Source organism: Homo sapiens, chromosome 13 (genome assembly GCF_000001405.40).
Source record: "Homo sapiens chromosome 13, GRCh38.p14 Primary Assembly".
NCBI classification, from domain to species: domain Eukaryota; kingdom Metazoa; phylum Chordata; class Mammalia; order Primates; family Hominidae; genus Homo; species Homo sapiens.
The window spans coordinates 43,994,367-44,016,446 of NC_000013.11; the positions used below are offsets into that span (position 1 = coordinate 43,994,367).

At 41.1% G+C, this 22,080-nt stretch overlaps 1 long non-coding RNA gene across 5 annotated transcripts in view; it reads right to left on the reverse strand.

The window, feature by feature from the left end:
* The window catches only part of LOC105370182 (uncharacterized), a 29,035-nt gene extending 7,789 nt beyond the window's left edge, over window positions 1-21,246 (reverse strand). For 2 of the 5 annotated variants that reach the window (XR_941918.3, XR_941920.3), the window contains exons 1-4: window positions 20,469-20,676; window positions 18,896-18,984; window positions 14,022-14,143; window positions 3,638-3,847 (exon numbers count right to left, since the gene is read on the reverse strand). This is a non-coding gene — a long non-coding RNA (uncharacterized LOC105370182). Of the gene's footprint in view, window positions 1-3,637; window positions 3,848-6,569; window positions 6,648-14,021; window positions 14,144-18,895; window positions 18,985-20,468 lie in introns of all 5 variants that reach the window. The other 3 variants (XR_007063774.1, XR_007063775.1, XR_007063776.1) reach the window with 3 other exon arrangements.
* Window positions 21,247-22,080: the final 834 nt, after the last annotated feature.

The window sequence follows — 22,080 nt, forward strand, 5'->3', positions numbered from 1 at the left end:
ATGTCAGCCTCTGAATGCCCTCCCTTCCACATTCCCAGAGATCCCTGTCTCCATGCCCCACCCTTCATAAAACCTAACAGAGCATCCTGTGCAGAGTAAGACTGAAAAGTGTCTGTTGAGTTAATGAAAAAGTGAATTAACTAGTTGATGTTACTTTTCTAGGTTTACTCTGGGTGAAAATGAGCCAGGAGAACACACTCTACAAGTAAATTAAAATCAGCAGGTTTTTTTTTATGCTCTAGAGAATGAGCGAGGTGATCTGAGAGGAAGCCCTCAGGCGAGCCCCTGAGCTCCTTGGGCCTCGGTAATGAGATGAGGTCTAGAGAAGTTCAGTGGCCCAGACACTGAGAAAGGAGGCTTCTTGGGATTCTGGGGCTTTCTGCTCCGCTAGCTCAGAAATCCTTGAACAGCAGGATCAGTGGTGATTAGAAAAGCTGTCGAAGGAGAAAAAATTCTCAGTTTCACCGGGTCTGGCTGCTCTCATCCTCACTGTTATCTCCAGAGCTTGTGGGTTAGAAGAGATTCCTTTAGCAAATGGTGAAGAAGGGTTGTAACTGTGCGTTTGACTGGAGAATTCTATAGGCTTACCCCGAGGAGTGGATTTGTGCTCTGGCTATAGAGATAGCAATGCCAGGGCTGAATGCAGGTATCATCTCTAGAAACATGGGCTTAAGTTTTGTAATAGCATACAGTGTTCTTATCATGTCTAACCTTGGAATACTGGAGCTGGAATCTTCTCTGACCTGCTATGCTCATGTTTAAGGCATTACCTTTGGGCATCATCTTTGTTGTAGCTCCTTGCTTGCAAACTTCTATGAAGTCCTTTTTTTAGCGGCAGAATGCATCCGAGTCATGTGGCACCAAAGTATGTTACCAGCAGTGAATCTCTGTGGATCTGCAGCAACCTTAATTCTTTCCTCCTCAGAAGAAAGAATTTGATCAAGAGGCATAAGGCAGAGTGCTGAGGCAAGTTTTAGAGCAGGAGTGAAAATTTATTAAAAAGCTTTAGAACAGGAATAAAAGGAAGTAAAGTACACTTGGAAGAGGGCCAAGCAGGTGACTTGAGAGATCAAGTGTGCAGTCTGACCTTTGGACTTGGGGTTTTATATGTTGGCATGCTTCCAGGGTCTTGTGTCCCTTCTTCCCTGATTATTCCCTTGGGGTGTGCTGTCTGTATGCGCAGCAGCCTGCCAGCACTTGAGAGGGGATCATGCGCAGTGTGTTTACTAAAGTTGTATGCATGCTCACTTGAGGCGTACTTGCCTTACCAACTGAATGTTCCTCGAAGGTCATATACCAGTTAAACTCCACCATTTTACCTCTTAATGCGCATGTGTGAGCCTGCTCTCCCAACTCCTGAGATCCTATCAGGAAGCTGCTGATCACCTGCTTCTGGTTTTTTCTATCTCCTGGGAGACTGCCTTTCCCTGGTGCCAACTGCAACAAATTATTATTTTAGAGAGATAGTTAACAACCACCTGACATCACCTGATGGTTGCCTGACATTCCTGGTTGGCAGGGGCCCTCTCCTGATCTGCTCATGTCTGACTAGCTACCTACTGTAACAGTTTCTGTGTTATCTTTAATATGTGAGCAAAATGACAATGAGCAACTCATTGTCCTTTAGAGATTAGCAATACGGAAATATTATCTATTGTTTTATCATTTGAGTCAGAAGAGGCATCTGAGGATCTGTAATATGCTACACTAAATATAACAACAGAAAAGCAGCTTTTCTTTCAAGGGTATATTTGCTTATCAACTTTCTGGAGAGGCTTTGGGTAAAACATAGCTGTTTTGGACTTTTATCTCCTTCAGCCAAGCACACTGATGCATGCTGATAGCTCACCTCCTTGTGCTTATGACATTCGGAAAATGTTTTCTAGCCCTTAGCATACTCTTTTCTCATGGAGCCAGTCTCTTGATTCCTTGAAATTTTAACATTTAAAACATATCCTAAAGCTTCTGGCCTCCTTGAAGACTTTTCAGAAAACCCTTCTCTAGAGCTCTTCAGATTTGGTTGGCTCAGTCAGAGCTTATTTGAAGCCAAAGCAAGCTACATATGTGACTTCTGTGTCTTATTTGCACATTGTCAAGTCTTTTCATTTAACCTGGGCCTTGGATCTGTCCCACATGGGCAAGGAAGTCCTTTGATAGTGGCATGATCTTGAGAAGCATATTCTGCAGATGGTGGATGATGTTAATAGAGTCTAACTAATCAACAGGTTTAACTTGGCATAGAGGAAATGAGACATGAAGGCCCAAAGGGTGGCTGATAAAAAGGCACAGAGTTACCTGAATGGGCTGTGTTCCATTTTAAGGTTCCTGGTCCAAATGTAATTGAGAACTGTCGTGGCTCAAAGCCCTAGTATCACAACTGACGGCTATTTGGCCATTTCCTGCTTTGGGCTCTTAGTTCAGTTACTAGAGGACATATGCCCTGCAGACTTCAACTCACAAGTATAAAGAAATCATATCTTTAAAAAAATACGGTTTCCAAAAATATAACATAACTAAATAAAACCCAGTACTGAAGGCAGGAAGAAAGAGCAGTCTCTTAATGCTTAGTTGAAGTAGCTGCTACAGCACATGGGACATTTTGTTCATTTCTTTTATTGAAGACAGATTGGAGAAATGAGAAGCAGTTGAGTTCGGGAAATTAATTATTGTATCATGTTGTCAAATCTTGTAATATTTTAAATGTAGGATTACATGGACATCATCTGAGAACTAGCAGCTATAAGGCAGCAGGGGATTGATGAGGAAAAGCAAAATGTTCTTGAGTCAGTCATTAAATCAGTTTTCCTGAAGAAAGGATAACCTTGTGTTATATGCATTCGGGGTTACAGAGTGAAAAATGTATTCTGCATTCTCATGTACACCAGGGGCATAATCTGACCCAGGTGTAACCCAATCTATGAATCAAAAGGTGCTTTATAACAGGATTTAATTGTACTTGTCTGGAATTTTGCCCCTCATTCTAGTTGTGGGATTTAATTAATCCTTACCCAGAGGTCAGTCACTTTGAGACAAATGCCATAAAAGGACAGAGAATTATCTCACTGTGAATTACAGTTAAGCACAGCCAGTTTTCATTTTATTACTATTATCAATTGTTTAAAAAACTTTGCTGAATGATTTCATTGTACATGTGCCTTCAGGCTTTCTACAGCAATTTGGAAAATACATTATAGAATAAACCACAAGATTATTAAAATGACATTAAACAGTATAAGGCCTAATTTCAAAGAAGGTTGTAATATCCATATTTACTCATATTTCATCTCCTTATATAATTATTCACACTCTGTATTTTGGGGATAGAACTTATAAGCGTGTGTTCCTACCTAATTATCTCACCACTTCCCCCTTAATTTTTTTCTTTTCTTCTTTTCTGTTGAAGGAACTCTGACTTCTAGCAAGAGCTCTTAGGAGAATTTCAGAACTAGAGGCTGAGTGATCTGGATAAAAACACCAGAATCCCTTTTTAATGTTCTTTCCTTTCAACATATCTAATTTTTTTTTCCTTCCAAAGAATACCTTTTGAACAAAACAGAGTGGGTTTGTCCTCACCACAGTTGGCAAAGGCTTAGATTAAAGCTTTCTTCCTATTGCCCTTTTATTGCCAGTTTCTTACCTGTTTCTGCCCCCTTCTTTCCTGAAGTGATAGAGATTGGTCTGTGACTGCTGCTACTGCCACCGAGCGAAATTAAGAAGGGGAAATTAAGAAGGGGAGGATGTGAGTAATAGCTCCCTCCAGACATCTGCTTGTGCTTCGGACCCCCACAACCCTGGGGGAATGGAGAGCAGATCTGAGGTGATTTGCCTGAAGCCGTTGCTTGGTAACCTGTTTTGAAGCAAACACACTGAAGTATTAAATATAAAACTTGAAAGAAAAGGAAATTTAAAATAAAGCCCACCTTTTAATCACTGCATATTTTCCCTCCCCCTTTTCTAATTCATCTTCCCTTTTTATCTCTTCAAATAAGGGGTCAGAGGTATATTTCAATCAAGATCTTTACCACAATCCCTTCTTTACACCCAGATAAAGGGTTGGATGTGGGAGGATGGTTTGTCATAAAAATATAAAATAACTTGCCTGGGTGAGTTGCCGTAGTAGAAAGAGTGCTGCATTTACAGCCAGACCACCAGTGTTCAAGTTCTAGCTTAGCTATTAACAATTGCAACTACTTAACCACACAGTGCTTCAGTTTATTAAGTTGCAACATGGGTGATATGGTTTGGTTCTGTGTCCCCACCCAAATCTCATCTCAAATTGTAATCCCCACATGTGGAGGGAGGGACCTGCAATCCCCACATGTAAAGAAAGGGAGGTGATTGTTTCATGGGACAGTATTTTCCCCATGCTGTTCTCATGACAGTGAGTGAGTTCTCACAAGATCTGATGGTTTTTATAAGTGTTTGGGAGTTCCTCCTTTGCCCATCTCTCTCCTTCCACCATGTGAAGAAGGTGGTTTCCTCCCCTTCTGCCATGATCGTAAGTGTCCTGAGGCTTCCCTAGCCAGACAGAACACTGAGTCAATTAAACCTCCTTTATTTATAAATTACCCAGTCTCTGGTAGTATCTTTTTTTTTTTGAAACAGAATCTCGCCCTGTTGTCCAGGCTGGAGTGCAGTGGCATGATCTTGGCTCACTGCAACCTCCGCCTCCTGGGTTTAAGCGATTCTTGTGCCTCGGCCTCCTGAGTAGCTGGAACTACAGGCACACACCACCACACCTGGCTAATTTTTGTATTTTTAGTAGAGATGGAGGTTTGCCATGTTGGCCAAGCTGGTCGTGAGCTCCTGGCCTCAAGTGATCCACCTGCCTCAGCCTCCCAAAGTGCTGGGATTACAGGTGTGCACCACCACGCTTGGCTCTGGTAGTATCTTTATAGCAGTGTGATAACAGACTAATACAATGGGCCATAATATTATTCTTAAAATGTTTTTCTATTTCACAAGTATTTGGTAATTCAGAAATGATATAAATATTGTATAAAACTTAAAATGAAAAATACATACTATAGAAATGTATAGTGCATGTTAAAGGAGCAGTGTCATATTGATCTTGGTTTTTTCTTTGCTTGTGTGTTTCTTCCATTATACCAAGCAAATAGGAATAACCTAATATTTATGTTTCAAGTACTGTGCTAAGTGGCTTGCATGTATTATTTATTTATATAACTATTGGGTACTAGCACCATATCTATTTTACAGACAAGGAAACAAAGGCACAGAAAGGTAAAGTAAGTGCCCAAGGTCACACAGCTGGTAGTAGGGCCTGGAGTGGGTTGAATTTTGCTGCACCCCCAACCCAACAAAAAGATATGTCCAAATCCTAATTCCTGGTACTTGTGAATATGGCCTTATTTGGAAAAGGATCTTTGTATGCGATTAAATTGAGGCTCTAGAAATGAGGTCATGCTAGATGAGAGTGGGCCCTAAATCCACTGTGAGTGTCCTTCTAAGAGACTGACAGATGCACAGACACACAAAGGGAAGATGGAGACAGAGACTGGAGTAACAGTGTCACAAGCCTAGAAATGTCTGGGGCCACCAGGAGCTCAGACGAAGTAAGAAGGGATTCTTCCCTAGAGCCTTCAGAGCGAGCATGGCTCTACCAACACCTTCCTTTAGGACTTCTAGCCTCCAGAACTGCCAAAGAATAAACGTGTGTTATTGTAAACCACCCAGTTTGTGGTAATTTGTTGTGCAGCTTTAGGAAATGAACACAGGGCCCACGGATTGAAATTGAGGGACTCTGACTCCAGAACATTAACATTTGATCACTTTGTTTTACTTTCCCTTTTTATTTGAAATATAAGTAAATTTGGGAGAAAAGAAAATTATCGAAGTGAATGTGGTTATAATTGTTTTTGGTGAAGTGGAATGGTTAAATGGGGAAATGTTTTGTCACACAAGCTAAGTTGTTATGTAGGGGTGGGATTGTTGGAACCCTTAGTTTTTTAAATGTCCAGTCCAGAAGTTGCCTAGAATAAATTTTTAAAAATTAAAGACATCTTTTCGAAGGATGAAATAGTGAATTAATACCCAGCAAAGATAAATAAAGTTACTGACAAGTAAATATAATTAAAGCAAAATACAAAAAGATTCTACTTGATGAGGTGAGATTTGTATTACTATTATTATTAATTATTATGATTAGTCATTTAAAAATTAATAATGACAATACCAATTTTTGATTAATATTGTCTTATGTTCTAAGAGGGAAAAGAACTATTTGATAGTTTGATAGTTTTATACTGAGCTTTTTGGATTAGACTAAAACTTCTCTGAACAATCTAGCATTTCCTAGTCATATGTTAAGTATTTTCTTTATGTAAAAATTTTTGTTTTGTAAAATATTTTCTCCATTTTTACTGATTTACAAATCTACTTTAAAAAACTTTTAAAAATGTACTTCTCTGGTGGTTGAGAAAAGCTCTAGTTGAAGCTTGCCTCTTCTCTTGACCTCTTCTCCTGCCTTGCCTCTTTACCAAACCACTTTGCACAATGCAGCCCAGCTAGAAGGCTCAGAAGCCACACTTCCCATGCGCCCCACTCACCTTTCTCTGAGGAACAAGAAGGACCAAAAAGCCTCAGCAAATAAGCAAGTGGGTGCCAGCACCAGTGTCCCAATCCACCTATGGAAGTATCCAGAGCAGCTACTAAGCTATGTCTTTTTATGATCAGTAAAAACTTAAGTCTGTGTGAGCTAATTCTCTATCTCCATGTTTCATTTTTCTCTTCATGTTGGATCCCACATTTGCAACTCTCTGTTGCAGTCCTCCCCTTGGTTTCCCCCCTAGTCCATTGAATCAAATGCCATTGTTGGAGTCCTTCCTTCTCTTTCCCCTTCCAACCTGACCCTAACCTGGACCTTTTCTAAATTACTCATTTCTGTTAAAGGCACCACATTCGCCCTGGAATGGAGGCTCACGGCTTTGCCAACATCTTTGATTCTGACCCCTTATTGCACGTGCTTCCAGTCAGTTACCAAGAGCTGTTAAGTATATGCCATAATGTCCTTCACATTGAGAGGTGAAGCCAGCTGGACTTCCTGGGTCGAGTGGGGACTTGGAGAACTTTTCTGTCTAGCTAAAGGATTGTAAATGCACCAATCAGCACTCTGTAAAAACACACCGATCAGTGCTCTGGGTCTAGCTAAAGGATTGTAAACATACCAATCAGCACTCTGTAAAAACGTACCAATCAGAACTCTGTGTCTAGGTAAAGGATAGTAAATGCACCAATCAGCACTCTATAAAATGGACCAATCAGCACTCTGTAAAATGGACCAATCAGCAGGATGTGGATGGAGCCAAATAAGGGAATAAAAAAGCTGGCCACCTGAGCCAGCAGCCGCAATCTGTTCAGGTCCCCTTCCACGCTGTGGAAGCTTTGTTCTTTCGCTCTTCACAGTAAATCTTGCTGCTGCTCACTCTTTGGGTCTGCACTACCTTTATGAGCTGTAACACTCACGGTGAGGGTCTGCGGATTCATTTCTGAAGTTAGCGAGACCATGAACCCACCAGAAGGAAGAAACTCCTGACACATCTGAACATCTGAAGGAACAAACTCTGGACACACCATCTTTAAGAACCGTAACACTCACCACGAGGGTCCGTGGCTTCATTCTTGAAGTCAGTGAGCCCAAGAACCTACCAGAAGGAATAAATTCTGGACACAACATCCAAACCACCCTCTCTATTCCCACTGTCATTACCTAGTTTGGCCTCTTAGTGCTTCCTGCCCAGGCTATTGAAACAACACTCTGCCCACATGCTTAGACAATTTCCCACATCCATTTTGATTGGCCCAGACCTTGCCATTCTATTTATTAAATATTTTAAATATCCCTCCTTCCTGTTTCACTAACAACAGACAAAAGTTTGGTATTAACAGAGATGGTAAGGGAAAATGTTAAACCCCACTTGAGCAGGACTCCACCCTATTCTTCCCGACTTGGGTTGGCCTTTCAGGATTGGTGCTGTTATCTGGAGTTGGTGCTCTGTGATCACAGAAAACTCACATTGATGTCATTTTCCCTTAAAGTGTACCTCATGCTGAACCACACTATTTCCCATTATTCTGCTGTTTAAAATGCTGCTGCAGTCCTTGTTTCTTAGACATTCAGGACCCTGCGTAGGCTTCAAATATTTGAATGAAAAATTAACAAAGGTAGTGAAGTAACTGGTTCCTACAGATTTATTCTATGATTTAATTATATATTCGGCAGGAAGTTACTCACCCAGAGATACTTCTTTTCTTCCAGAAAGGACAATTTCTTTCCGATAATATGTCTTGCTCGAATTGTTGCCATTCTTCCTCAGTACCCCTCCACCATGCCTGAACTCTTGACATCCAAGTAAATCCAGAGATCTCTCTGGAATCACTAAAAGAGTTACTGTTTTCGTTGACAGTCTCACTATTGTCTGCTAAAATTTTACCAGTCAGTTCAAGTGACAGTTGGAGGACACAGTAGAGAAAATGTTTCCATAATCAGAAGTCTTACTGATGTGTAGTCATCAAGCTTCAGAGGGGCTGGAAACTCAAATAGGTTGAGAGTTGGTGAGGTCAAACATGAACTCTCAGCACATTGTCAACACCGTGGGTCTTGCCAATTTCTTATACAAAATACCACTGTTTTTCTCTAAAGTGGTTTATATGCTCAGCAGTAAAGCTGAGGTATGCTCACAGTTTGTTTCTGTGCTGTATTTTGGGACAGGGGCTTGTCCTGTGCAATCCAGAGGCCTGGGCTGGGTGGGCACAGTCTTTTCACAGGCTAATGCTTTAGGTGATTGGCAGGTCCGACCAGTTCCCATGGCCCCTCAGCTGACTTTTGGGCTCCAGAGTCCAAGCTGCTTTGTTCATTATTTCCCACTGTCTTGTCCCCCTTCCTTGCTCTTCTCTGGAGTGAGACTGAGAGGCTAGTGCTGCTGTCCCCCAGCCCGTTGGTACCCTGTCACTTCTCAGAGCATTTTCTGTTTAACCAAAATCAAATAAAACAATTGCAACACCAAAACTCAAAGAAACAGAGGATCAAAGGATGCATATGTGTAGCCAGAAAAGCAGTCCCTGGGTCTTAAAGGTGTTGTGCAAATCGAGCTCCTACCCTATTTTCATCTTGTGTTTGAACTTTTGTATTCCCATTGGAATTAACCTTGTTCTGCTCCCTCCTGAGGTTGGAGCTTAAGTTCCCAGCTGTGGCTGGTAGCTGTTCCAAGATGTTTCTTTTACATAACCTATATTTTTCAGTTCTGAACAGAGTGGTTCTGAAGTAAGTGCTTCACACCTGCGTGGGTGTCTGCTATTGTTTGAATGTGTCACCTAAAATATATGTGTTGGAAATTTAATCTCCAATGCAGCAGTATTGGGAAGCAGGGCCTTTTGGGAGGTGTTTAGGTCATGAAGGTTCTGCCCTGATGAATGCATGAATGCTGCTATAAAAAGGGCTTTTGGGAGTGGTTTTGCTCTTTCTTTTCCTTCCTCCTTCCACTATGTGAGGACGCAGCAAGCCGACTCTCATCAGATGCCAGCACCTTGATCATGGGTTTCCCAGACTCCAGAACTGTGAGACAATACACTTCTGACCTTTATAAATTACCCAGTCTCAGGTGTTCTGTTGTAGAAGCACAAGCAGACTAAGAGAGAATCTCTCTTCTTCTTTGACCTAAGGGTTATCCTGTATTTTCCATCTTGGCTAATTGTTTCCATCTAGAGTGTGCCAAAACTAGAAACTTCAGAGTTATTCTCAATGATTCCTCCTTTCTTTAAGTCACCACATCCCATATGTGTTCAGCCTTGAAGATTTTGTTTTTCATTTATTTTTTATTTTTATTTCTTTTTTGAGACAGAGTCTTGCTGTGTCTCCCAGGCTGGAGTGTAGTGGCATGATCTCAACTCACTGCAACCTCTGCCTCTCAGCTTCAAGTGATTCTCCTGCCTCAGCCTCCTGAGGTAGTAGCTGGTAGTAGCTGGGATTACAGGGGTGCACCACCACACCCGGCTAATTTTTGTATTTTTAGTAGAGACAGGATTTCGCCATGTTGGCCAGGATGGTCTCAAATGCCTGGCCTCAAGTGATCTGCCCACCTTAGCCTTCCAAAGTGCTGGGATTACAGGCGTGAGCCACTGTGCCCAGCCCAGCTGGGTGATATCACCTCCTAACAGTGTCAATGCCACAAGTCTTACTGCCCCACTCTGCCCCTTTTGACTTACTATTCTGGCTATATTCATTTATCATGACTTTATGCCTTAGTTTCTGCTGTTTTCTCTGCCCTTGATGCACTTCCACTTGGAAGATCCCAACTCAAAATTGCTTCAAATCCTTATTGGAACATAGTAAAACATGGTAAAATACAAAAACAAAATGAAACAACACAAACAATCCAGCAACTAAAGTCTACTCATTCTCAGAATCAGGTTCATTCTCAGAGACTTTCCTGATCCCTGGTGGTAGGGCAGGTGGCTTCTTCCTGGCGCCCCCACAGGACTGTGATCACACCCTGGCCACTTCCCACATAGGCTGAAAAGTTTGTTGACTGTGGGAGGACAGGGACCATATCCTACTCATCCTTCTGTCCCCCTTTCTAAACAGTCCATTATCCAGAGGGCCTGCTGTGTCCAGCTGATCTGCAGTTGACTACATATCCCCTGCACTGCTCTCCGGAGGCTGACGCTGATGACTCAGTGCCCAGAAGAGAAGGGCTTTTCCTGTATGAGCCACAGATTCTCTTTAAATTGCCTTCAGGTCATGCACATTTGTTGCCATCTTCTTTCTTTACTGTAAATTACCAGGATTCCTGGCTACTTTACCTTTATTTTCTCCAGGGTCTAGACTGCGTCTGATAGGATCATAGGTTCTTGCTCTCTGTGTGGTGTAGTAATTATAAATTTTCTTGGTGAGCAGATTAAACATGTAGATTCACGTTCAACTCTGGGGTTTTCCCCCAAGGATTATAATTAATACCCTAGCAAACAGGGATATACGCATCCCTGTTCACATCTGGGGTACAGAAAGAGCACCCCTTGCCTCAACAGGTAACCCGAACCATTAGCTTTGCTCTGATTGGCCTCATTCACCCCAAACCAATCTGGATGGCTGGGTTCAAGCATGGAAATGTAGCCATCCAAGCTGTTGATTCATCTGCATGACTTAAAGGACTTGAAATCTTTAACCAAATTTGGCATAATTTAATTTGGCTGTGTGTAAGCATAATGATGAAATAACACTTTGACCCCAGACGTTTAAGGAGAAAGAAATATAATCAGGAAGAATTGTGGTCCAACAAGAGTAACACCATATTTCCATAGTAGTTGCAAACACAGCCAAGAGCAGCCTGTCAGGCAGCAGGACTTTAGAGGCCTTGTGGGATCATATTTAACCTGGTGAAGCTCAGCTAGAACTTAGAACAGTGTTTGTCAAATTGATCACAGGAGTCAACAGAAGTACTTATAAAAAGTGCAGATTCCTAGACTCTCCCTTAGAGATTTTAATTCAGTTAGAGCTAGTTGGGACTGTATATATAAAATATAAGAATCTGTATTTTTAATAAATTCTCCAGCTGAGTTTTTATGATCGGGCAAGCCTGGGGAATAGTGTTGCCAAAAAAGAAATCAAATCACTCTGTGGTAGGAAGAATAAGAAAGCATCAAGGACTCGGTAGGCATTTAGTACAGACACTGGTCAATGGGATACAAAATCCTCAGGAGGCTCCAGCTTACTGAGTGGTAACTCTCCCCACTTCCCACATACACACTAATTTCAGTCCAATTTGGTTCTATCATTTAAACTGTCTCCTTAGAGTTAAATCAATGCTTTGGGATAATTGCTTAGGCTTTTGAATGTCTCCCCTTTTCTTGGAACTCTGCGTAAGGCGATGTCTGGGTAATGGGAGTGCAGCTCATATACCCTTAATGCATGGGGAGAAGGGGACCCTTGGCCTGGTGCTGGACTTTGAGTGGGCCCTGGCTGTCACCTGCTTTGGAGTGTTAGGCTCATTTTGTTGTTGGTATCTTATAGCTGATGGTCCCTTAATCTTTCTTTCTTGACTTGTACTGGTCGAGATCCTCTCTCTGCCCACCCTCCTGTTCTTGGCTATCTGTGACATGTAAATCTCCATGAGTCTCCCCACATCTGCCATGTGGGGTGCCCTTGGCCAAGGTTCTATCTGCCATAGCTTCTACAAGATTATCTGTCCTGCCTCCTCATCTATACTAAATCTTTGGATTGCAAAAATACCTTGTGGCAAGTTGACTGTATCTGTTATATATTGCTTCACAATAATCTGCCCTAAAATTTAAACACTTCAACAACAAGAAATAATTTATTTTGCTCATGAAAATACAATTTTTTTAGTGCTCAGCAAAGACAACTCATCTACTCAACATGGGGGTCAGCTTGGGCAGATTGACTTAAGGCTGGCAGATTCACTTTCATGATGGCTCACTCATATGCCTGGCAAATTGTTACTGTTATCTGGGAAGTCAGTGAGAGTGTGGGCTAGGGACATTGCTTCTCTTCATGTAGGTCTCTTCAGATGCTGCTTGAGCTTCCTTCCAACATGGTGGTTGGATCTCAAAAATAAGCATCCCAAGGGATAGATAATGAAAACCCAGTATCTTGAAACCTGGGTACGAAAACTACCATAATGTTTCTTTCTCTGAATTCAGTTCCTCGAGCAGTCATAAAGGCCAGACTTATGAGAAGGGGACATAGACCTGTCTCTCAATAGAAGGACAGTCAACTAATTTAGGGGTCATCTTTTTAAAATGCCAGTGATCTTAATCTTGAATGTTGCCTATCTAAATTAGGTTTCACTGACACATTGTATTGAAATAATATCAATTTTGTGAGACTATCAGAGCTAGTTTGACTTTTTAGAATATTAGATATTTCCCTTTGATTCAAGTAATATGGCTCCAATTCATCAATGAAAATATTCCCAAGATGTATAAATTCCAGTTGGGACCTGTGTTGATGAGTCCTCATAGACCGAGATGACCCTTACCACAGTACCTACCTGGAATTTGGCTCATGGAGATAATACCCTTCACTGCAGCTAAAGAAGTGAAAGCTGAGCTTGTTGGGAGACTTGTCAACCAAGTAATGCCTGCTTTTCTTGTGTAAGAAATAGCCCTAACTTGGAACACTTCTATTCTTGCCGGAAAACTGTCCAAAACAGTTCAGATGTGAACTCTTTACAGTACCTCTTTGCTTGAATTATCTGGGCCTGTGGTTGATTAAGCACAAAGTGGACACATAAGTATCTTCCTGAGAAAACAGTGAGGCTATTCAGTGCCTCCTCAGGAAACACAACTCTTTTTGTAAGGTTTGGTCTCCTCCTGGGACAAGACTTCAGAGATTATACAAACTATGTCTCCCCTGCCAGGGAAATATGCCAAAGTCAGGAGTACCAAACAGACATAAGAATGGGGTTAGAGGTGGAAGAGAATGGGGGTGTCTTTCTTTGCAACAACCAGGAAAGTGTAACACATCTCCCTGGTATGAGTGTATTTGTCTACAATGCAATCCTTTGCAATGGATTTAGGAAATCCTTTTGGGGGAACATTATCTAGGATAAACAAAAAGAAAAGCACCTTTCTGTTTTACTTTTCTTGCCGTTTCATACTGCTAGAATTACTTTTGGGGGCTTCCTCGTGAATTGACAGAAAGCAGTGATGGTCACTGTGTTTGGTTAACAACTGATATCCAGTCCCTGGAAATTCTGTAGTCCTAGCAAGGGGGTGAAAAGGGGGATGAAGAACGGTGTGGATATTGTCACTGGCCTTTGTTTACCCCAAGATACCAAGATTTAGTGATCTGAGGAGAGTAAAATCCTGAGGCTCCTGTTTTCTCAAGTGGAAACTTTCATTTGTCAAAGATGTATACATTTATTCTGACTTGGAGTAGGAAAAGTTTTCTAGTGTAAACACAGGGTTGCACTATCCGTATGTGCAAAACACCATCCTCCAAACGTAGCCAAGACCAGATGATGCAGATTTTAATATCTTACCTTTCCTTTTCTCATGGTTTGACACTCCCCTGGGATATTCTATTCTCTGAGCACAAAGTACACCAACACCAGTAGAAAAAAACCTGTTTGCTTCCTGTGTGTTGGTGGCAGAATGTCAGAGCCTGTAAAAAATTCGAATGGAACTTGGTTATATTTCTCTTTCAAGAGACACCCACAGCCAATTTATCAAGGGAACTGGGGAGAAATCCAGGTTGGGACTATTGTTAATTGGTTTTGAATTTATGATTCTGAAAAACTTATAATTATGAATAACTGTTTCTTGGAGTCATCCCAAATTTATTCCAAAACAAGAAGCAAATGTTCTTAATGTATTTGAAATGCATTGTCCCTATATCTTCAGACTCGAATATACTTTGACTCCACCTCCAAGTAATTCTCATATGAATTAATGTATTAAGTGTTCCCTTTTTAACCTTTTACATTTCTTGTGCTAATGTATTTCTATTTTAATCTAATTATTATTCTTTTAAATATCAGATCTCAAAATGCAGCATATTAAAAAAATGAACTGCAAAGCTATTCTTTACAAGTTATGAAGGTCATCTGCCCACATTGTTGTCTTGGTGATTGGATTTTCTTCTTCACTGTTTTCCCATATGGACCCCAAAGGCCCAAAAGTTGTATCTTCAGTTTAGTTGGCCTTTCTTCACAGAAGAAGATAATGTTTCTCTTGCTATATACTTGTATATGTTCTTTATTTTGCTTCTTGTTTCAAGTATCTGTCCTATGCTTAAAGGCTTTAGATTTATTTTTCAATTTTCTCTAGAAGACCATTCACAACTTGGTTTTCCAGATCTTCTTTTTTATTTTCTCTAGAACGTTGGATGAGAATTCTGCCTTCTTCATGGCTAGTTTTTCCCATGGGCTCTTCTTTTATTTATACTGACTATATTGTGTTTACTTTTATTGACTTCTCAATTGGGTTATCCAGGCCTTTTCCTTGATTCATAAATCCTGGGTTCATTTCTGTGTTCTCTCTCTCTCTCTCTTTCTCATAGAAAGCAGGTGCATAGTGGATAAGTGGACTGTAGACATAGGTTTGGGGATATCAGTTTTATATTTATTTAGAAGTTGACTGACAGGATCAGAATATGGAGGATAAGCAGATTGAACCAGAGGAGCTATATTTCAGAAAAATGTGAATTATTTTTGGAAAATTTGCTTGTAATAACTATAGAGAGAGGGGATGCCAAGGTAAAGGATCTGATGATAAAGATGCCAGATGAATACCTACAAAGGATAAAAGAATAGGACTGCATTTCCATGGTTATGAAAACCTAAATGTTAGGGAAAGACTAGTCATCAAAGAAATAAAGAACTTGAATGAGGGTGGAGGTCAAGGTTGCAGTGAGGTCATAGGGTTCTGATTATAAAACCCAGAGGAAGGGGCAAATTAAGTAGCCATGACTCCAGAATTAAGACTCAATGACTTAAGAAAGGAATCAATATTAGACTCAACCTAAGGCAAGTGTATCTGGAATCCCATGTAAAGATTTTCCCCAGAAGACCAGCAAGAGACAGATTGAAATTTGAAAAAGCTAGACTTTGGGTGTGTACTCTGCAGACTGAGCAACTAGCTGGATAGCTATAATTTAGCCCTCTGGGTAGAGTTTGTCACCTGAAATAGCAAGGCCTTAAGGCAAAGCAAAGTCATAAAGCAAAGGAGTTGATGTTTGAAAATGAGACATTAGGCCCTGACTCTTCTCCTAACTGCTGGGCAGTCTCTGCAGATAATGGAATTTCAGGAGCCCACTGTTTCAAGGGGTGCTTGGCAGATATTTTCCATCATTGTTCTTGAATTTCTTTTTTACTTTGTTGCACACTATACTATGAGTCACCTATGATAGACGTTCCTACTTTTCTTCTTTATTCTGTCTCTAAATTATTAGGAGCTGGGGATATGGTAAAGATTAAATGAGACCCAGTAGGAGGAAGCACTATATGAGCAGAGGAGCATATAAACTGAAGGCAATTTCTCTGAATTGGGATTGGATTTTGAGGGTGTACTAATGCTGTTATTCTCTGATTTCATTAAGATCAAGTGAACTCTAAGTGTGACATCATAATATTTTAGATAAATATTTATAATATTTAATATTTAAAATATTAATCTAAATATCATAATATTTAGATAAATATTTTTCAGCAAACATTTTTTGAGCATGCAGTGGGCATTTGGGCCTGGTCTAAGCAATGGAGCTACAAGGTGAAGAATTGAGGCTGCTATGGGGTCTGTAGGGGAGGCCAGGGGCACTCAGTTTTGTGCAACCTCAAGTTAGTGTGATTTGCAGGACTCTCTTTAAGAAAAAAATTTTGAAATTACAAATATAAATTTAAGTATAGAAGGGATTTTATTTAAAGTGAGAAAAGAGATGCCAACAAATTTCAAATAAAAAAAAAAAATCTAACAAATACCACAAACATCACAAAATCCAAGGGAAAAAACCCTACATGGTATTTTTCTTAATAAACTGTCTAACAAACCTCTGTTAGATTTTTCCTCATATATATTGGCTGTGTACTCTTTGATAATGTCTTCATGTAACAGTGACTTTTAAATATGATTTTCTATAGAGAGACCAGAAACATAATTTGGTCTCTCCTCTTGCATGGTTCATTAAATTTTGTTTTTTTAATAATTGATTTTTTGACTAGATCTGATTGAAAGCCAAATCATTCTCTTACAATTTTGTATACTTAAAGATTGGAAAGAAGTTCAATAGATTTAAAACCTTGTTCCACCTAAGTACCTTCACAAAGTGCCGGGCACATCAGACCGTTCTTACTGTGATGTAGCCTCTGGCCTTGCCTGCCCCTGAGTGTCACAGCACAGGGTGAATCAGCCCCATGGGCAGTAGGAGGTATTTCTAGAAGCCAATGCTACACCAGACAGCTAGTGTCACTTCACTAGACATTGAAGTGATTATAAACCACATAAATATAGCTTATTAAAGCCAAATAAGTGATTCTCTAACTCAACTCTCCCTAAGCTGAATCCCCAAAATGCTCTCAGCCATTCCAAGCTACCCAACTTGAGGAGACTTGTACAAAGGGAATTAGGGACTGATCAGAGTAGAAAGAAACCCTAGACTTAACCTGTCACAATTAAAATAGATTAGAGCTGCAAATTTTACAAAGTTCTTGGACCTCAGGAACATATGAGACCCAGTGTCTTTGAAAATAAAAGGCCCTGATGCTGATGTTTAGTTAACCCGTACCTCAGTCTGCCTCTGGGGAGGCCAGTAGGTAACCTGAGTGGGTGAACGAAGACTCCACAGTGGTATTAAACTTTTAGCTAAGTCTTGAAAGATAAGGAGATATTTTTTAGGAGGTCAGTGGAAATGGCCAGGCCTAGTAGGAGGTGCCAGCAAAGGAGAAAAAGAAGAAATGGTAAGAGAGAAAGAGAAGGGCAACCAGGTGAGAATGACCTCTTTGGAGAGTGTTAGAGAAAATTTCAACAAGAAATGGTTAAATGCTATTAAAAATGGAAGTGAGTCCAAGTAGTTGACAACGTGAAAGAGTCTATTGTCAATCAGGAAGCCACATGGGGATCTTTGTCAATGCAATCTCAAAGACGTAGTGGAAGTCAAAGCCCAGTTTTAATGAGCTGAAAAGTGAATAGATTACAAGCAAGTTGACTTTGATAGTTCAAGAAGTGCACCTGGGAAGGAAAGAAGATGCATAGTGCTGTGGTTATAAGAAAGCTTGGAGATGAAGGACTCTTCATTGGTATTTATTTTTAATTAAAGAAGAGTTTAACCAAACATGTCAGGAATGCCCCGTAAGTGGAGTGACTTCCTGGTCTGAGCAGAGGGCATGTGGTCTCCATTTGCTTATAATTTCACTTACCCTTGCTTCTTAGTACTCTAAAATTTTCAGGAATAGCTTACCAACACCAACCAACAGAGCAGTAGACAAGTCCTCTAGAGAGTGTATGTGCTCATCTTGACATTCCAAGGAATAGCCCACACCTTGCCCCTGCCCTGTGGTCCCACATATCAGAAGTACAGCTGTTCACATTCTATTCTTCTCTTTTCTCCCAGCTTCCAATCTCATTCCCCCCACCCCCCCACATCAACCCTTCAACCCCTCTCTCTTTCTCTCTCTCCATCATTTTTTTGTGTGTGATATGGAATATTCTCCATGCAATTAGCTATTCTTCACAGATACAGGTTTTAAATGGCTGCATTGTATTCTGTGACATGAATTAATCATTACTTATCTCGTTGGACATTTGGTCTGTTTCAAGATGATTGTTCAGTCATCTAAATTTTTGTGTACAGTGGTGATTTCCTGAGGATATATTTCAAAAAATGTCAAGAAATGGAATCACGTGCACAAAAAAGTCATGTTTTTATGGCTTTTGACATATATTACCAAATTGTTTTCCCGGTAACTCAAATGCTTGATGATAACGAAGCTCTGAGAGAATGTAAGCCTTTGCCTTTGGTTGAACACATTTACATAACATGGTAAAATGGAAAGCCAGAAGAAATCATCTGACACACTTAGGGAAAAACCAGATTTGATTGTTTTTGCCCATATTTTGAATTTACTAAGTTATACAGTGCTGGCCTCCACATTTTCCACTTGTGAAAATGTATTAAGATAAATTAAATTGCTTCAGACATGCAGCTGAATTTCTCTGGTTCCCAGACTGTGGTTATTCCCTTGACTGGTCAGCCTGGGGTGAAAAGCACTTCCTGGCAGTCAGCAGGTGTGTTGTGCTGGAATCTAGAAACATGACAACCAACAAGAGGAAGGCTTTATCTACCAGATTAAACAAAAGGCATGGTGGATGCATAAGGGGTAGCAGTAAACATAACCTCAAGGAGAGGGGCTGAAGGACCTACCTCCTGCCTAGTACCCCACAGGGCTCTGAGCCTGGTCCCTTCCGGGTTGTAGTCTCTGATCCCCAGATTCTAGGATCTTGCTGAATGGCCTGAGGACAAAAGACATTTTCCAGAGGCTTCCCCTAAGAAGGTTTGCCAAATTTCTGGGAATACGTACAAAGCTTGAGCCACAGAAAGCCTGAGTGATCCGTGAATATAAACACATCAGTAGTGAAGTCCAGCTTTACGTTTTTGAAAAAAGCCCCTTTTAAAAATGTCTTGGTTTTCAAAATAGTACGTTTCCCAAATTATATTTATAGAGTAGCATCAAACAAGAAAGCTCTTTGATAAAACCCTGCCTATTTCTGGAAGGGTGGAGATGGGAAGATGTGGATGGGAGTAATGTTTGTTCACAGGCCGTTAGCTGCTGAGCTTTGATCATTCTGCAGAAAAGAGGTAAGATCGTTATGCCACCAATCCGTACCCTCAAACTGAACCTTGTTAATAAGTCTTGTCTCATCCACTCCATTAATGATCAGCAAATGACTAGAACTCTGGCCAAAAGGCCTAGACATCAGGATGAATGTCAAATAACAGCTGACACTGCCAACTAAAAATAGCACTTTGGATTTAAATGGGTGACTCAGACTTGATTTCCTATGCTTGCCTGGGATAATACGGTACAGAGCAGGGTTGTTTTATGTTTTTCTTTTTTCCTTTCATGTGAAAGGAGGGTTTTATTGCAATCGTCTGGGCAGTGAGCTCAGAGTCAGCTCTGTGGGAGTTGAGTGCACCCAAACTTCTACCTCCGAGGCCCTGGGGGCACCTGGCACTGTCGGCTTCCTAAGCACATCTGTGCACTTGACCTTGCAGTCCAGGTCAGCAAAGAATGAGAGATGGCTTAGGAAGTTATGTCAAAATTTAACACCATTTCCAGAAACTTCTCCCTTTGTGTTCTTCCCATCATTCTCCTTCACACAATGGAACCAATTAAAAGGCTAACCAGTTAATTGCAAATGACACAAGCTACATAACCCAGGACACCTCTTGAAAGAGATGGCAAACTGGAAAACCAAATGTATCTTTCCAGAATATGCCCATATATATAATGAATATTAAAATGTTGACCAAATTGACCAGATAAATATTTAAATAAGGTCTATAATGGAACATTACATCTGTCGCTCATTTGAGTTAAATACATTTTCACTGAGTTAGTTAATTAATATTTGCTAATCAGATTGGTCAATGAGGTTTTCCTAGTTTCAAACAGTGACAGAATATGTCAGGCCAACCAAAGATGTTTCAACTATGCATTCCCAAGGTTTTTGCCCCATCAAATGCATACCCCTGGAATCTAGATAAGTCTCTATTTACATACAAGCGTCTCCTCCCCTTGTACATTTTCCCACCCTACAGCCCGTTGCCAGATCCCGTTATACTCAGGGAATATCCTGTCTGCCTAGGCTCCCTTCCTGGCTATTAGAAGTCAAAGCCCTTCGCGTGACAGTAAGAACGGAGCCTGAAAACGATTCTGCAAGTCTGGTTTCTACAGGGATCACGGGCCAATAATACCTGTCCAGAACTCACTTACCAGTTCCAAGTGGGTCAGCACAGCAAGAGGACATCAAATTGTGAAACCTACTAGTTATGGAGCTAGGCAGAACTGAGGTTATGATGAGGTTCAGAGTTTAGACAATGAAGCTTTGAGGAAAATTCCCATAGCTGGGAATTCATAGCAGCTTTACTGTACTTCTTAAACCTCAGACTTAGATGTGGGAGGAGCACCTGGAGTTGATACAAAGTAGATGCAGCAGCCAGTGGCACTCAAATTCAGAGTCAGAGCTCCCAACAAAATTCAGTTAAGAAATCACAACCTAGTCAATTCTCAGCCTGTAGGCTAAAATCAAGTGTGAGAAAATCGCAGCCCATAGACCCTAGCCCAAATAAACTGGACTCTTTCCACAACTATGCTGGCCTTTTGCAGTAAGCCTAAGTGCTTTAAGGATGTATCTGTTCTGGATCTCACTGTTAGGCTGTGGTCAGACAGGCTGGTGAGCTGGGAAAAGCCTTTGTGAGGCCCGGAAACTCTTTGGTGGCTGGGAGCAACTTGGGAAGGGGGAAATCCCCTCTGGCCTTATCTGTCCAAGCCCTGCTTTCTTCTCTCCTCTATCTTCCACTCCTTTCTTCTCTCCACGAGTGCCTCAGAACCATCAAACCCTCTAGTGCCTTAGCCCTGATGTTAGGACGCTGTTGGGGCCTTGGGCGTGGCTGCTGAGTGCCCAGTCTCTGGAAGTGAGTCGTCCATTTGTTGGGATGGACAGGGACCCTGCACAGGGACCCTGTGGTTGATACTGTCTTGTTCCAGTGCTGGTTTTGAATCTTGGCCAACAGAACACAGAGCTCGTGCCACATGCAGTGAGCATAGCCCCTCCTTGGAGCCTGCCTACCTTTTCCCAAAGGAAGAAGAGTGGACAGTTTTGCAAACAGGAAAGGAGAATTTATGTGCTTCAGGAAGGGCAGTGCCTCTAAGAGGGAGAAATAACACTTGTTAAGAGGGAGAAGCTGTGTCTAACTGTGTCTTTCTTGGTTTGCCTAAATGTAGGCCATTCAGTGGCTTCTCAGGAGAGAGATAGGAGCGAGGGAGGGAGAGAACGGGAGAGATATGCAGGGAAGGAGATTAACCTGGCATCTTGTTATTGCAAAAGAAGTGCCACAGGAAATAACAATGTCTGGAGAAAGAGTAAATAAAGTGCCCTTGTGGCGCAAGAAGGAATGGGATGAGGGATGGACTTCCTATTGAAAACTGGACTTTGGCAGTGGAAGCTGGTTGTGAGTTACTCAGACTTGTAACTAATGAAATCTTTCATTAGGTTGGAGGGTGGATGGGTTACTTTCGATAAATTATTTCCAGGGATTTTGCTCGTTCCTCGAATTCCTTCCTGAATGGATCTGGGATAAAATGCTGAATCAAAGTGTCAGGCAGGAGCTGCAGCACGGCAATCCAAATGATAAACAAGGGTAAGGGAAGGCCCAGCAAACGGCAGGATCTGAAGTTTCTGGCACCAAAAGAAAAGCTTACAACCCAGGTCCTACCTTGGAATTGCCCTTTATTATAAACTTTTGAATGATGCGAGCATAAAGCAAAGTTAGTTTCTGATTTGTTAGACTCATTATGAAAATATTATTGGTAATACAGAACTCAC